This window comes from Homo sapiens, chromosome 7, assembly GCF_000001405.40.
Source record: "Homo sapiens chromosome 7, GRCh38.p14 Primary Assembly".
NCBI classification, from domain to species: domain Eukaryota; kingdom Metazoa; phylum Chordata; class Mammalia; order Primates; family Hominidae; genus Homo; species Homo sapiens.
The window spans coordinates 35,352,890-35,369,915 of record NC_000007.14 but is presented as its reverse complement, the minus strand read 5'-3'; the positions used below and the strand labels follow the sequence as shown (position 1 = coordinate 35,369,915).

The 17,026-nt window shown below is 43.4% G+C and overlaps 1 long non-coding RNA gene across 1 annotated transcript in view; it reads right to left on the bottom strand.

Moving 5' to 3' along the window:
- Positions 1-17,026, bottom strand: part of LOC401324 (uncharacterized) — a 62,622-nt gene that overhangs the window by 6,561 nt on the left and 39,035 nt on the right. The window lies entirely within an intron of this gene.

Here is a 17,026-nt window from a genome sequence, read left to right as displayed (position 1 = left end):
TCCTAGTAGGGTTCCCCACCTTACTGACGAGGAGAGTGATTCTCACAAAGGTTAGTCAGTCTCTTGCCTAGCGTCATAAGGATAGGAAGGCCTGGGGCTGGGATTGGAACCTGGGACTGCCTGGTTCCATCACTCCCTAGGCCTTCCTGGCTTATAAGAGTGGTAGGTTTCCTATGCAGTGTTGTTTCCCTAAAAAAGCCAAAATGACAAAATCTGTCACTCAGATGTAGTGTAGTTGGGAACACAGGCTCTGGGGCCAGACGGGCTCAATTCCACTGCCTACTAGCTGTGTGATGTTGGACATTTCCAAATATCTCCGTGCCCTCCTGGAAAATGGTGATCATAGTAGGACTTGTCCCATCAGTTTACTGTGAGGATTAAAGAAATCAATGCACATCCAGAGTGCATGCATTGCATGGTGCCTGGCACATTGTAAGCATTCACTATGTAATACTGGATAATAATCAGCGTTGTAGTGGTGCAATGAAGAATGCCCATCCATTTGCATATTTGATGGTCTAAATTTGAGAGGTCACCAACCAAATATGAGGCCACAACATCATCAGACTCTGGTTTTCCTTGCCCGACATTGCCATATTTATGGTCAGAATGCCTCACATTTACATTCTTAGAACTTACTCATAGATGCAATTTCTGCTGAAGAGTAAAAGATGAACTTAAGGTTTTTCCTATGTTGATTCTATTCATGGATTTTTTTTCTCTCCAGCTTATATTCTTTGATGTGAGGTGAGGGAAGGGTGATGTGGTTGCAGCTCCCTGCCACAGAGGCCCTTGATGACCAAGATCTCACTATATGCTAGGTGTTTTACAAATTTTACCTCATTGAATGTCCACTTTTACGCATCTTTTGTAGGCAGGTATTATTCTCACTTTTTCAGATGAGAAAAGTGTATTTATTTTATATTTTCCATATTCTATCATGTCAACAGCATTCACTACAACCTTAAAGTTCCTCTAAAATGTCACAGACTATTAAAACATGGGCTCTGCTACCTTCAGCAGAAATTAGTTACATACCTAAAGGCCTTTCTGCCTGGCATTGTGTATCCCAATGGATTGTAGGTTTCAGATTTAATGAACATTGTTGATCCTTACTGCGTGCCTGGCTCTGGGTTGACAGGCTTGTCTATGTCATCTCATTTAAGTCACCCATCAATTCTATGAAGAAAAGCCTTATGATTTTTACTTTGCAGATGAAAAGGCCATAAATGGAGTTTCAAAGATCACAAAATTACTGAGTAGAGGATTTGGGATTTGAACCCAGGTGTCTCTCACTAACTCCATCTCCAGGGAGCTTCCTATCACATTGCATAGTTTCAGCACAGTCTGCAGACCCTGCGCACAGGCCTCTGGGAAGCCACTTGCAATCAGTTAAAGTTGGCACCAATGATGAAGCCCATTTTTCCTCCCACGTTTAGTCAAATTCTTTAATTTGCGGGTGAAGAAATTGGGCCTCAGGGAGGTTAAATGGCTTGCCTGAGGTCACATAGGCACTTTGTGCTGTGTGAGCCAGACTGTGTTCCCATTCTTGTCCTAGTCCCATCCACAAAACTACCAGCCCCGACAACTTCACTCCCCAGGGGCCTGATCCGCATGGGATTTTTGGCAGCCTAAAGCTGTCAAGACAATTTCTCCTTTGCGGAAAGGTTCCCTTTAGTGCTGGTTCCTTCTCTTAATCAGATGCTGGAAAAGTCCATGGGTAGAGTCCCACTCTAGAGACGTTTCAAGGTTGTAAATAAAGGCCTGATAGAGGCTGGGGAGCAGCCTCTGGCAGTGCATTCACTGCCCCTGAATTTATTCCAAAGGCCCAGACACCCCCTTACCATTGACTCCGGTTCTTACACCTCTTGATTTGACTTTTCTGAGGAATCTCTGGACACTTAAAAGGGACTTTTGAGAGAATATGGCCCAACCCCTTCACTTTATAGGAGCCAAAGCCTAAGGAGAGGAGTGAGTTACTCGAGGTCATAGAGTAGGTCTGTGGCAATTAAGGGCTCAAGAGCCAGACTGTCAGGGACCAAATTCTGGTACCACTTAGCTGTGTGACCTTGGGCAAGTTAGTTACTCTCTCCCTGGGCCTTGGTTTCTTGGTCTGTATTTGGAAATGATCATAGTATTTATGGAGAATTAGAAATGGCCTCAAATTCTTTGATACCTCTCCATTCAAGAGGTGTCACCTTTTCCCACTCTCCTTAAATCTGACCTGGCTGGTGATTGTGCTGGTTCCAGGGGTAGCCTTTAAAAGAATTGTCAGCTTCACCTTGGTCTCATGGAGTCCCGAATTATCACAGAAGAGGCACAACTACCCTGAGGCCAGCATGCTTGAGGAAGTCCAAGCTAGCCATTTGAAGAAGCTGTGTTTTTAGGGAGAGAGAGAGAGGCCCAGGCAGCCTCCAGCTATACCAACCTCCAGTCCTTCAAGTCATCCTGAGGCCTCAGACATAATAGAGCAGAGATAAGCCTCATCCAAATTCCTAGCCCGTGGAATAGTGAGACATAATAACAATAAGTTGTTGCTTTCAGACAGTAAGAGTGGTTAGTTGTACACAAAGGATAACCAGAACAATACCTCTCAGAAGGTTGTGAGAATTAAATGAGTTGATACAGTTGGATGTAGAGCAGTGTCTGGCACAGTGTTCAATAAAAAAGTGAGTTATTACTCATTCAACAAATATTTATTAACACCAAGTTGTTCTATACCTTGAACTAGCTGGAAGGGTCACAGTGGAAAGAGTGACCCAAAGAATTTGACCCTTGTGGAAATTAGGAGAACTGTAACCTAGTCATACACTTCCTATTGAGTGAAGAACATATTTTCCCCTACTTGGGCCCCCCACATCTTATCTGTCCCTAGCAGAGGTAGAAGTTACAGCCTCTCCTTCTAATGGGATACCCAAGACTGGGTGGGTCTGGAGGGGTTAAGCCCAGAGATGTTGTCCCAGGGCTGCTAATGAAAACTCAGCTGCTATTGATTCCAGCAAGCACTCCCTTTCCCAGGTCAGAAGAGAAACTCAAACCATTGTTGAGTAAATACAGTATTCTGTTCACTACATCAATTAGCCTGACCCCAGGGGCTCTAGGAGCCCCCTGGCTCCCCCATTTGCAATGACAGCTGCCATGCTAATGAATCCACATTGACATGATAATTAAACCATTACACAAAGTGGGGCTTTCCTAGTCACAGCAAATTCAGCAGGGGAGCCCGGGTGGCCGTGGCCCGGACAAGGCAATGGGGACCGTTCCAGAGCCAGGAGCTAACATGCAGTGCCTGGGTCATTCCCAGACTTGTCCACAGGGGCAGCTGGACTGGAGCACTGCAGCTGCTGCCTGTGGGGCTGGAGGCAGGGATGGAGCAGGCAGGCCAGGAGAAAGATGTCACCCGAATGATGCTCCTGCTCTCTCTTCAGAAATCCTTAATTGGGTGAAGCCTGAAAGGAAGGAATCCCTTGCCCCTTTGTGGAAGATGCAGGGCACCCTGTCAACTCTGGCCTAGCCCTTCCCCTCTGGAAGGCTTAGCCACACCCAAGGGAGAGTTGGACAATGGGGATTGCGAGGGCCAAGGAGCCTTGCATTCCTGGCATCATCAGGAAGAGCCATGTGACCATCTTTCTCACTATCTTTGGAGAAAATGACTCTTTCTGCAAGCAGATGATTATAAACTGCAGGAATGTCTGATTTCTTGGTACAACCTTACCAATAACTCATTTCTGAGACTCCAACCAACCACAGTCCTCTTTGCAAGAGCACAGACTTGGGAGTCAAGGGGACTGGACTTACATCTCGGCTCTGTAACTTATTAATTGTATGATCTCAAGAAATCACGTGGTGTTCTGAGCCTCTATTTCTTCAACTGTAAAATGGACTCAGAAAAACTGCTTGGCCTCTCTGTGCTTGGGATTAAACAAGACAGTTTATGTAAAAGGTTTAAGACAGAATTTTACTTAAATAGATGACAGAACCTTACTGGCCACAATAACACTCTCCATAAAGATGAGTTCCATTGACAGAAATAATCATTGTGATTGATTGGGTGGGAGCCTAGAAGGAACAGATTAAGACACTCCTAGAAAAACCTCTAGACAAAGTGAATGTGTTTTCCTCTTGATGACTGCATGCAGGTAAATCTGCATGTAGAGTGTGCTCAGTATAAATATGGGGAAAAAGAGGAACAGAAAATGACATGCTTGTGGCAGAGAAAGAGGCAAAAGGGGAGGGCTGTCCTGGCTCAGGATTATTAGGCATCACCCCATAAGAGGTGACTAATCAAATATTTTCCCACCCATCCATCCATCTCCGTTATTCATACAAGCACAAACACACATATTAGGGGACTTATCATGTAGAATTAAACACAGGCCAAACCAGTGCCTGTTTCTTATAAAAATCTGGTCAATAAATGAATGAATGTATAAGATGCAATCCCTACTCTCATAATACCCTGTAAAATGGAGTGTACTGTTCATCTCACCTCTTTTTCCCTTAACGTAATTCAATTCTAGCTGAGCTATGATTTATGGGCAGCAAAGAAAACACAGGTATGCAGTTTTACAAGAGAACTACAAGCAGGTGATAACCTGGCAAGAACATACTCAGACAAATTATGCTCAGAAACATAGGAGTTCAGCAGTGGGCAGGTGAAGAAACAACCAATGTTGGATTCAAAACTGAGGATTTTGAGATTATATCCATATTTAGCTGGGAAAGTGCTGTGATTGATTAGTAATGTCTGCCATGGGCATGGGAACGGAGAGAGACGGGTCTTTCTTCATGGCAGGTGTTTGTCATCTCAGGTCTAGGCAAGATCTAAGATACCTACCATTGTGAAACTCTGTGTGTGTGTGTGTGTGTGTGTGTGTGTGTGTGTGTGTGTGTCATATAGGATAAGCCAATTCTCTTCTCCTCATACTATGAGCAATTAGTATTACAGTTTGCTACATGAACCAGTTTTGGTATTTTTCTTCTTCCTGCCTCCCTGCCAGTTACCTTAAGTAAATCCACTCAAGCTCTCAAAACCTGTGCCGCCATGCAAAAGAAATTTGGCTGCCTTAAAAGAATCTAATTCGATTTGTCAAAGTAGCCAAAGAAAGTCAAACTTTTTGTTAACTAATTCAACAAACATTTACCAAACATCTATGTCAAAAGCCTTGGGAATAAATAAAGAAAGAACCCACAGTTTCCTCAGGTGCTCAATGTCTAGTGTTTATGTGCTGGGGGGTGGGGTGGGAAGAAAGAGGCAAAAACACCTGTAGACACTTTCTTGCATCCCTTGTTTAGAAGGCACAATAGCCAGTGAAATTTAATTTGATGTGGCTTAAGCGTTCTTTGGACAGAAGCCACCCCCATTTATGCTGTGGGAGCTGATGCAGCTCTGGGGAGCAAGTGAGAGGTTTGAAATTGAGCTCTTTGGATTTCCAACCCCCTTCAGTTTGGGCTTCCTGGAGGAGGCTGCCCTGTGCCTGGGAGAGTCCAGGCAGAGGGTGGAAGGTGAAAGGAGGGAATGTGGGACCAGAGGACCCCTTTGAACCCTGGGATGTTCAGAGTCCTTCCATTATTGTCAGGGTGACCCATTCACATCTTTTAAAAGATGAGATAAAACATGAGCAGAAGCTTTTTTAGTGCTTTCTCCACTAAACCCTTGCTACCCAAAGTGGGTTTCCCAACCAGAAGCATCAGCATCCCCTGGGAACTTATTAGAAAATGCAACATCTCAGGCCCTTCCCCAGACCCACCAAAACAGAATGCAAATTGAAACAAGAACCCCAGGTGATTCCTGTGCACATTGCAGTTTGAGAAGCCCTGGTTTATGTTACAGAAATGCCATTCACGCCCCTTACCTCATTGGGTAGTCATAGTGGACTCTACAATAATACCGTTTCTCTCTATGGCTTTTTTTTTTTCTTTTAATTTTAACTTTCCTAAATGCTCTTGTGAGTAGGCTCTACCCTTCACTTCCAGGCTCACATCAGATGTGCACCCTCTGATGCCACTCAGCTCCTCTGTTCCTTTGGTGTTAAGGAGGGCCTTCCATTGCCGTGACCCAGGCTCGGTGATGTAAGGGCACCACATTTACCCAGTGGAGTTACCCATGACCAGCGGGCTCCATTACCCTTCCCTTCTCTTTGTAGGCTTTCTAAGAGAAAAGAGATAAAGAAAAATCCATGCAATCATGGAAGGGTGGGAGATGGAGTGGGGGAGAACAAAGGGATGTGACGGGCAAGGTGTGTGCATGGAGGGAAGCCTGGTTGGGGACCCAGGAAAGCTACAAAAAGGAGAGAAGGTGTTGTGGATTGAGATACTGAAGAGTAGGCAGCAGTTACAGTTGACTGTGGGGTCATAATTTTTTTCCCTTCACTGTTTCTCTGTTTTCTGCCATTCATTCTTTCAATCAATCACTCATTCAGCAGATATTAATTGAGATGCAGCTTTGTGCCCGGCTCTGTTCTGGGTGCTGAGGATACTGACAGAAGACAAACCCAAGGCATGAAGTGGGTGGGGAAGACATCAACTGAGAAGCGGGGTGCCAGGCCAAGCAGAAGCCCTGGCCCTACACCGGCATGGCTGCCAGGCACCATAACTGGACTGGGCCTTCCTCTCCTCATGACTATGGCATCAAAGGATTCTACAGCTACCTGAGGCATGAGGACACATTATGTAAAGCAGATAAAATGACTCCAGAGTCTTCTGCCTCACCAGATCTTTTCCTTAGGATGAGTTTAATGAGGCACACACAGTCCTGGATGTTTTACATGCACCATCTGATTGATCCATCACAATCAGAATCCTGTGAAACTGGTAGCAGAATGAGGTGAAGACTGGGGTGACACAGTGCGTGAGTGGCCTGAACCCAGATCTTTCCTGGCAAAGCCTGTGATCCTGACCACTTAGTGAACAGAAGACAAAAGGGCAGCAGGTGGTCAGAGGGGTACAGATTGGACATTTCTGCTCTGAGGTAAATTTCTGGAACCAGGTTGAATTTATTTGAAACAGAAATACTTTGCTGGCCACTAAAGAGGAAATCTGCCCTGATGTCATCCCTTCCAGAAGGCATTCAACAAACACTGGCTGAAATGAATGGAGAGAGCCTGGAGACAGCCAGGATGTTGAGAGGTTCAACCAAGTCCTGGGGCCCCAAGAACAGCAAACTCCACACTTGAGGCTACTGGGAACACTCTGCTGGGGGCTTGGCTTTATTTGTCCCTCCCCCTCTGTGAAATCCTGGGGACTGTCAAATAAATGACAAGACTCATTTTACAAGTAGACTAGAAGTCTGCAGTGGCGAGTCGGAGCTGATTGCCTATCTTATCTTGAGTCATCAGTCTCTCATTCCGCCTTCCACAAACAACTCTCAGTTGTGAGATCTGTGCATGGGCCTGATGCAGTGGGCATTTCCCAGGGCCTTGGTCCATCATGAGCCGTAGGGAATGAGAAATCCACTTAGCCCCTTGCTGAGGGGACCTTGACCAGCTGGACCAGAGCAGCAGGAAGACCGAAGCCTTGAGGTGCTGCTGGTGGTGTCTAGGCACTAAAGTATGATGGTGACAGTGACCACGACACCCAGCACTTTGGGAGGCTGAGGTGGGTGGACTCAAAAGGGATTCAAAACCAGCCTGGCCAACATGGTGAAAACTCGTCTTTGCTAAAAATACAAAATTAGCTGTGCATGGTGGCACATGCTTGTAATCTCAGCTACTTGGGAGGCTGAGGCAGGAGAATTGTTTGAACCCCAAGAAGCGGAGGTTGTGGTGAGCCAAGTTTGTACCACTGCACTCCAGCCTGTGCAACAGTGCGAGACCCCATCTTAAAAAAAAAAAAAAATCAATGACCATGACAGTGATGATAATAGGTAAGTGATAACTCAGGCTTACCACCGGCTAAATTCTGTTATGTACTATTCATGAATTACCTCATATAACCTTGACAACCTTTTTTTTTGGATAAAGAAACTGAGGTCCAGGGAGGCTGAATAACTTTCCTAAGTTCATACACCTAATAAGTGGGAGAGCTGAGGTTTGAACCTCAGTGTGTTGGAGTCTACAGTTTCTTACCCCCTTGTTTGGAGCAGAATATCACCTGTCAATCAAAACTAAATCACAGGCCAGGCGTGATGATTCATGCCTGTAATCCTAGCACTTAGAAAGGCCGAGGCGGGAGGATCACTTGAGCCCAGGAGTTCGAAACCAGCCTGGACAATATAACGAGACCCTGTCTCTATAAAATATTTGAAAGTTAGCTGGGCATAGTGGTGTGAGCCTCTGGTCCCAACTACTCAGGAGTCTGAAGCGGGAGGATCCCTTGAGCCCAGGAAACGAAGGTTGCAGTGAGCCATGATGGCACCACTGCACTCCAGCATGGGCAGCAGAGCAAGATCCTGTCCTCCCCCACCAAAAAAAAATCCCACAAAACCCCCAAATCAAACAAACAAATCACAGAGCCTTCAAGGATTTTCTCCAGTAGCCAATTTTCCTGGTCAAGCATGGAGCACCCTCACTTTTTTTGCCCCAGACATATCTTCCCTCTTGGGGTCGTCTCACCTTGTTTCTGCCACCCCTATGTTGCTTAACTCCAAAGACACAGAATGGATCTTTAAAATTAGTTGAAAGCAGAACAGTAGACAGAAGAGAATGTGAGAAACACTGAATTAGTGAAGTTTATATTTGGCTGTATCTCCAGGACCTCACCTCACTTAAATGACAGAGGTTTTGCAGCACAGCAAAGATCCTTGGTTCTGGGGCCAGGCATTCCTGTGTTAAAATCTGACTCTATGGCTTCCTAATTCTCTGCTTCTGAACAGAGTTCTCAACCTTCTGTGGTGTTCTCATATGCAAAGCAGGAATGATGGTAATCCCTGCTTCGCTGGGTTATTGGAAGATTAAATGAGACAACGTGCGTGAAGTACTTTGCTGGATGTCTGGCATAAGTAAGTGCTTGATAAATGGAGTCTGTTATCCATTAGCACAACAAATATTAGCATCTATTCTATATATTGGGCTTTAGCATAAGATTTCATTTTAACTATCCTCTTTTAAGCTCTTCAGTAAGTGTTCTGGTTTTTTTCATAGCGATCTTACACATTTCTTATAAAGGTTATCTCTTGGTTTTTGAAGTCTCTGGCTGCTATTTCAAATGTAAGTTTTTCTGTTATAACTTCTTTAAAACTTTATCAATTATAAAATGTTTCAAATGTACTGAAAAAACTAAAAATCAGCATTTTAGCCCCAACTAAGTTGGTTAAGTCCACCTCTTTCTCCATGCAAAGCACATCTGCTATGTAAGAGACCTCCTCAGTGTCAAACCAAGGGAATCATTCTCCCTGCACAATTGATTGAGGTGCAGCCCACCCATTTCATTGACTGGGAGAGATAGGTAACCTCTTCCCAGTGGGGGAAAGGTTGTTGTGGTTGATAGGAGCTTGAGTTTTCATGGTTGACACCCTAAAATTCCTCATCCTGCAATCCTATACCCACACAAACAAAGGCCCACCATAAATACACAAACTTGCAATAGATTGATTATTGCCTTGTAGGCTTTCTTTTAAAAAATAGAAATAAACTTACTGATGTCAATAAATATCAATACTGAATAGTTTCCCATTTTAGGATGCACCAATACCTATTTAGATAAAAATATTCTGACATCTTTGTTTCTGATGTGTCTGCCATTAAAAATTGCACAGTGGGCTGGGCGCGGTGGCTCACGCCTGTAATTCCAGCACTTTGGGAGGCAGAGGTGGATGGATCACGAGGTCAGGAGTTCAGGACCAGCCTGGCCAAGATGGTGAAACCCAGTCTCAGTTCACCAGATGACTCCCAGCCTTCAATAAAGTCTGAATGACACAATGGACTTTGGGGACTTGGGGGAAAGAGTGGGAAGGGGGTGAGGGATAAGAGATTACAAATTGGGTACAGTGTATACTGCTCAGGTGATAGGGGCACGAAAATCTCACAGGTAACCACTAAAGAACTTACTCATATAACCAAGCACCACCTGTTCCCCCAGAAACCTATGGAAATAAAAATAAAATAAAATAATAAAATAAATAAAAAGAAATTATGCATGCTTCTAACCTTCCAACATTATTATACAATTCAAAATGTATGTTATACAAATTCAAAAACTTGCTTTAATGTCAAAAAAAAAAAAAAGTCTGCATTCCAGCCTACAAGAAGGGGGTGGGGAGAGTCCAAGTGCTGTGCAAACAGTGCCTTTTTCAAAATACCTGACTGGGAAATGCCCACATTACTTCCACTAACATCTGATTGGCCCAGATGTAGTCGTGTGGACACACCTAGCTACAAGGAAGCTGGAAAATGTAGTCTTTGGAAGGGCAGCCATTTGTAAGCAAAAACTCCAGGTGTTCTATTATCACATGGAATAAGAGGAAAAGGATACTAGAAGAAAGTTCACCATCTCTGCCACAATATTTTTTTGCCTACTTTTCTATAGAGTTTTTGTCTTGCATTTGTTAATAAGGAGTTCTTTATGATTTACATACTAATGTTTTGAAGGTTGTGTGCATACAAATATCATCACATTTTTAATTCCCTATATAAATAAAATATCATTCATTATATTCATGGTATCATTATCTATAACAATATTTTAATTTAACACATTTTCAAGATTAATCAAACTTTTTATAGTTTCTGCTAACTGTATTTTATTTAAGAAATTCTTTTCTGTACCTGTGTTAATATTTTTTTCTTCATTTTTCCCTCAATGTTTTACTTTTCATGTTTAGATCTCTAATTCATTTGGAATTTATTTTTGTGTATTCTTCTTTTTTTTTTTTTTTTTGAGACGGAGGCTTGCTCTGTTGCCCAGGCTGAAGTGCAGTGGCGCGATCTCAGCTCACTGCAAGCTCTGCCTCCCAGGTTCACACCATTCTCCTCCCTCAGCCTCCTGAGTAGCTGGGACTACAGGTGACCGCCACCATGCCTGGCTAATTGTTTTGTATTTTTAGTAGAGATGGGGTTTCACCATGTTAGCCAGGACGGTCTCCATCTCCTGACCCCGTGATCCGCCCGCCTCAGCCTCCCAAGGTGCTGGGATTACAGGCATTTTCGTGTATTCTTTAAGGTAAAGATCCAAGTTCTATTGGTACAGATAACCAACTGGCCTGGCACATTCAATAAACAGAAAACCCTTTCCCCAGTGACTGGTGATGCCATATCTTTCACAGGCAATGCTTCCATGCATTTGTGGGGGTCTGTTTGTAGCTCTCTAGTGTCATCCCTACCAATGCCACATTGTCTTTATTATGAGAGCTTTATATTAAGCCTTGATCACTCTTTAGGGAAAATTTCCACACTTTCTTCTTCAAAAGTGCCTGGCAATTCTAGGCCATTCTTTTTTCCATGTTACTTTTAGGATCAACTGGCATGTCACGGGAAAAATGTGTGGGTTTTTTACTTGTGATTTCATTGAATTCATAGATGAACTTGAGGGGAATTTACATCTTTATGAGATTTATTAATATTCTGTCTGTCCATGAAAATGGTATACCTCTTTATCTATTTATCTTCCATGTCATCCAGTACCATTTTATATTTTCTTCATAGATGATTTTCATGTCTTTTGTTAGATATACTTCTAGTCAACTTATAGTTTCGTGGGTATAAAGCCTATTTCTAGTCTATTTTCTAATTTGTTGTTTCATGTAAACATGGATACTGCTGATCGTTGTATATTGATCTTGCATCAATTGATCTTATTAAGATCTTAAAAGTGCTAATAGTTTATAATCCTCTTGGGTTTTCTATTTAATCTATGAATAGTAGTAATTTACCTCTTCCTACTGTTTTTTATATCTAAAATTTTTCCTTTGTTCTATTGCATTGGTGAGAAAATCCACTATAATGTGGAACAGAAGAGGTAATAACAGGCCTCCTTGTTTTTGCTGACTTTAATACAAATATGCCTACAGTTTCACCATCAAGTGTAATATTTGCCCTTGGTTTGTGACAGGTTAAGGAAGTTCTCTTGAATTTATGGCTTGCTAAGGATTTCATATCATAAATAGCTGTGAAATTTTATTACATTCTTTTTCTGTATTTACAGGGGAAATTATATAATTTTCTTCCATTACTCCATGAATTTTTGTTAAACCATATTTACATTCCTGAGATATTTTAAATTCATTACTCAATTTAATTTACTAATATTTTATGTAGAATTTTTTTCATATATGTTCATCATGATATCATTCTAAAATTATTTCTTGGTATTTTCTTTGTTCAGTGTTGTTAAGAAGACTATAAAATTAGTTGTCTATTTCCCCCTTTGCTTTCAATTATCAGTTTGTATACCAGTCCCACCATCTGATGTTCTTTTTGCCAAGGAGACTTTATCTATTAATTATTCATGATGTATCCAGATTTGCTATTTCTTTGTCAATTTCATTTCTATTTTTCTAGAAAACTGAGTACTTCATTTCATTTTCTCTTAAGATTTTTTAAGTCTCTACTCTCTGTAGTTATGGCCTCTTTTTCATTTTTTACATCTGCATAGTTGTCCACTTATTGTTTAAGCCTATTTAAGTTGGCTATTCTACAACTCAAAATTAAAGTCATTCTGATTGACAGAGACAAAGACACAGGGAAATGTGGTGTACGTTCATACCATGGCAGTGAACTCAGGACCTGTCTTCCACACCACCATGACGTCTTCATGCTCTCCTCTGCTCCTCACCTCTTGTCCTTCAGGACTCGACCAAGCTGATGCCTCCTCCGAGAAGCCTTCCCCAACCAACCCCACCCCAGTGAGCCCGGATGTTTTTCTTTTGCTTCCCTCCATAACACCACTTATCAGTCTGAATGGAAATGATCTGTCTCTCCTATTAACTTGGGCACTCATCCAGAGCAAGGAAACCATATTCATCATTCATCCCCAGAGGCAGGCAAGTGCCTTGCACATAACAAGTGTTCAACAAATACTTTCTCAACAAAGCTGTAAATGGAGCAGTGTGGTGCATGTCAGGAAGAGTAGACCAAGGCCAGGCCTGGAGAGAGGACTTTGCCCAGAACATAACATTCTCAAGCTATAAAAAGATAGCAGCCATAAAAGTACATGCACAGGGGGCTGCATGTGTAAAACCAAAGACCTCACCCCCTTGGGTAGGCAGCTTGCCCTCTGCCTGTCTGTTGCCTCTTCCTCTGTGTCAGCCTTATTTATACTGGGGACATGGCAGGGTGCCTCCTGGCCAGGAGCCTCTGGCTGGCAAGCTGGGTCGGCCACTGCTTACTCCAGTTTCCGTCTTCATCCACTCCCCTCCACTTCTCCACCCACCCTCACCCCTGCCATGAGGCAGAGAAATCATGGTAACCGTGGAGGATGCTGGGCTTTGGAGCCAAATAGTCTTCAGTGAAGTCTTGCTTCTGCCCCTTCCAGGCCACGCACTCCTGGGCAATTTGCTTCTCCTCTCTGCACCTCAGCTTCTCTCTTCCCCATCCTCAGTCCCAAGATTCTAACTTTTGAGCATGCAAGAAGCTGTATGAACTCATTTCTGAGTCCCACTGTAGTCAGCAACTGTATATTCGGCAGTGGGATAGGGGCCTTTGTCATTCAGGGCCAATTATCCTTTCTGCTCCTCACATCTCCCTCCACAATCTTATCTGCTGTTCGATCTCCCCCTCCCCCGATTTTTTCTTAAATTCTCTTTTTACTAGGCGGAGGAGGCTCCTGGTTAGGAAAAGCCCAGAAGCAATTTAATGGTACACTTAATCCTTTTGTTGTTGTCTAGCCCTTGGAGGGCAGAAAGCCAGGTGCTCCCATTGCTCCTCCTGGGTAACTCAATTAAAGGAATTAAAAGGCTTCGGTTACATTATTAATTTTGAAGCTGTGTGCTTCTCACTCAGTAAGGACCCAGGAGAGCTTCCAATGCAGATGTTCTGCAGACACTCTACCCCAGACAGTCACATGGCAGATCATCCCTAGAACCCCTCGCCTATTTGCTTAGCATGGAGCAAGACTCTCACACAACTCTCCCTCTCATGTGACATTCACAACAACCCTGTGACTTGGGAAGGACAGATTTCTTTATGTTTCAGGTGCTTTCCCAAGGCACCGAGGACACCAAGCACCTTTGCTTATGGGGCACACCTAACTGAGGGTAGCATACAGATAGGAAGGAGCTGTCTCATTTTACAAAACTGCTGGTGACCAAAGTGAATGGTCAGTACCCCAGGGTTAGGGGTACTGGGGGGCTCAGGGCCCCAGGGTCAGTAGAAGCCTGATATGCAGAGTTGGCAGGATTGTGGCTGTAGATGGCACTGGAGGCATCAATGGATTTGCAGCTTCACTGGTGGTGAAAAGGCAGTGCTATGACAAAGGAGGGGACAGCCAGCTCCAAGAAACAGCCTGCCAGACCACAGGGGCCTGGATCTGTAGCCTTGGCAGCCAATGTAAGAGCTTCATCCCCAAGCAGTCAGCATAGGATGGTTTATGTTTGGTCTCAAAAGGCCCCTAAATCAAAGTGGCTTAAAACAATACAGATGTTCTTGGGAGTCAGTAGGGAGCTGGGATGCGGCAGGGGAATGCTTTGCCCCATATAGTGGTCACTCAGAGACCCAGGCTGATGCAATTTCCATCTTCTCATGCTGCCCTCTCTACATGAGGCCCAGGACTCACAGTCTCAGCCGAGGAGAGAGCATGTAGAATTGTGCACCTGCTCTTAAATGCCTCCACCAGGAAGCAGCACATAACCTCTCATTTCATTGGCCAAAGCAAGTCAAACGGCCGTGTGTTATGTTACATTATGGTGGAGGCCAGAGTGTAATCCTCTCATATGCCTGAAAGGAAGGGCAGGCTGGATATATTGTTCTTAACTGCCACCATAGTACTACTTGGATGAGCTTGGGCCACCTTGCTGGAAGATCCCTTTTGAATGGGACAAAGATGGTACACTCATCACAAGTTCTCTTTATAAGCTTGGCACACAGCCCACCTGATGGGGCCTGACCACAGCTACAGATACCTCTGCCCACACAGAGCTCTTTAAGCTTTTGGGGGCCAGCCCTCTGCCATGCTGTTTTAGTCTTGTGTAGGAGAAAGAGCTGAGAAACAAGCCATGCGACATTTCTCCCAACCTGTGATCCTGAGCAAGGCATTTCCTGTTCTGTTCTTTTTCAATACTTCTGATTATTTCCAGGAGGAAAATTGTAGACTGGAGCCACTAGATCTCCCGTGTCTTTCTAACACTTATTAACCTCTCTTTGTAACAAGGAAGAAAAAGATCTGTATCTCAGATATAGGTAATCCTATTTTTTTCTTGTAATATTCATTTTCATAAACACCATCTATTTGAAATAAGAGATACTAGTTTTCAATCTATTTTTTGATGTGTTTCTTTTGAAATACAGTTATTTAAACTTTCAAAAACAGGTAGCTCACAGAAAGCTTTAAGAAAATCATAGTACTTGTTGAATGAGAGTTGGCCCAAGAATGTGAAGGTGTTAATAAATGACTGAGGTTTGGCAGAGAGGCATCTAGTAACACCTCGTTTTTCCAGTGAGAAAACCACAGCAGAGCAGGATTTGAACTCAGGCAGTCTGGGTCCCGAGTCTGTCTTCTGGATGTTTAACCAGTACTTGCCAGCAGTGTAACCTTAAGCACAAATGATGTGAAGTATATGGGCCTCAGTTTTATCATCTGGAAAATGGGGATAATAATTGTGCTTATCTCAGAGGATTTATGTGAAGATTAAATGGGTTCAAATATGCAGAACTCTTAGAATAGCGCTGATAACTTGATACTGATTATTTCTGTTATTACTGTTTCCACTATCAGTCTCCACCTCGAGTGCACTTCTCTCCAGCTGCTTTCCTTTTGCAAATCAGGCCTGGGACTGAAGCTCACTAAAAGGAGGCAGTTAAGTCTTGTGGTTTATTCTGTTTTTATTTATCGGAGCAAATGTTTTCCTTGAAAATTAAGTAATTGAGTTAGTGATCACCAAACTAGGCCAAACTGGGTCTGGCCTTTCCTGCAATCAGCGACTTCAAAAGCAGTTGTTGCTTAAAAACAGGCAATGTAGCTATTGGCCCCCTCCTCGCTCCCCAATTCTCTCAATTCATTTCTTTGTTCAGTAATCTATTTCACGTTCAGGTGGGAGTGGCTGACTGCCTGGCTGCAGCAGCTCCTCTCTATTAATCGGGGGGGAGCTGGAGGCAAGCGGGAAGATGAAGTACAACAAGCTAATTGCTGAGTCAGACATGTGATGTCCCAGACCCTAGAGCAGCCCACGCAGGAGCAGAGACAGATACTGGAGCTGGTGATGAGGAGCATGTCAATCACAAGGGGACTGGCAATCCACAAGAACAGCTCACAGGCTGGCCTCCCTCATCCTCTCCTAGGACTCCAGGCTGAGATCAGGCACAGTCTTTCAGGGGCCCAGGCTTCCACTGTTTTCTGCACAAAATCGTGTAATGGCTAAAGGGCCTGGACTCCTGAGTCACAAAGTGTGGGGTTGAGTTCTGGCTCATTAGCTGCACAAGTCTTAACAAATGACCAAATCTTCCTGAGTCCCTGTTTCTTCATCTGTAAAATGAGGATACTAATATCTACCTTAAAGATTTGCTGTAGAAATAAAATGAGATCACTAATGTAAACTAGTCCGTAGAAAATAGCCTCTGATCCCATTTTATGCTGCTTTGTGTTCATGAGTGTAAGGCTATGAGAAATGGCAATAGGTTAATGAAACAACTATTCTTCCATCCACTTTCCTATTGGTCAAACACTCCTGCCCAAACCAAATTATGACCCTTTTTTTCCCCTCACAGATTGCTTTTGTTTTCCCTTTTTGAGTGCTTTTTTTTTTTTCATTTTATAATATTGGTGCCCTTAAAATGGCAGTGCTGCTGTCATCTTAAGGGAATGATAAATAATTGATTACTAGATCAATCTTTGGTGCATTTCTTTCCATTATTTTTAGTGCACACACAAGCAGGGTTTCATCTGGCTAGTCTATGACCACATGTCAAACTTTTTTGTTAAATAGTAAATCCGTGGGATA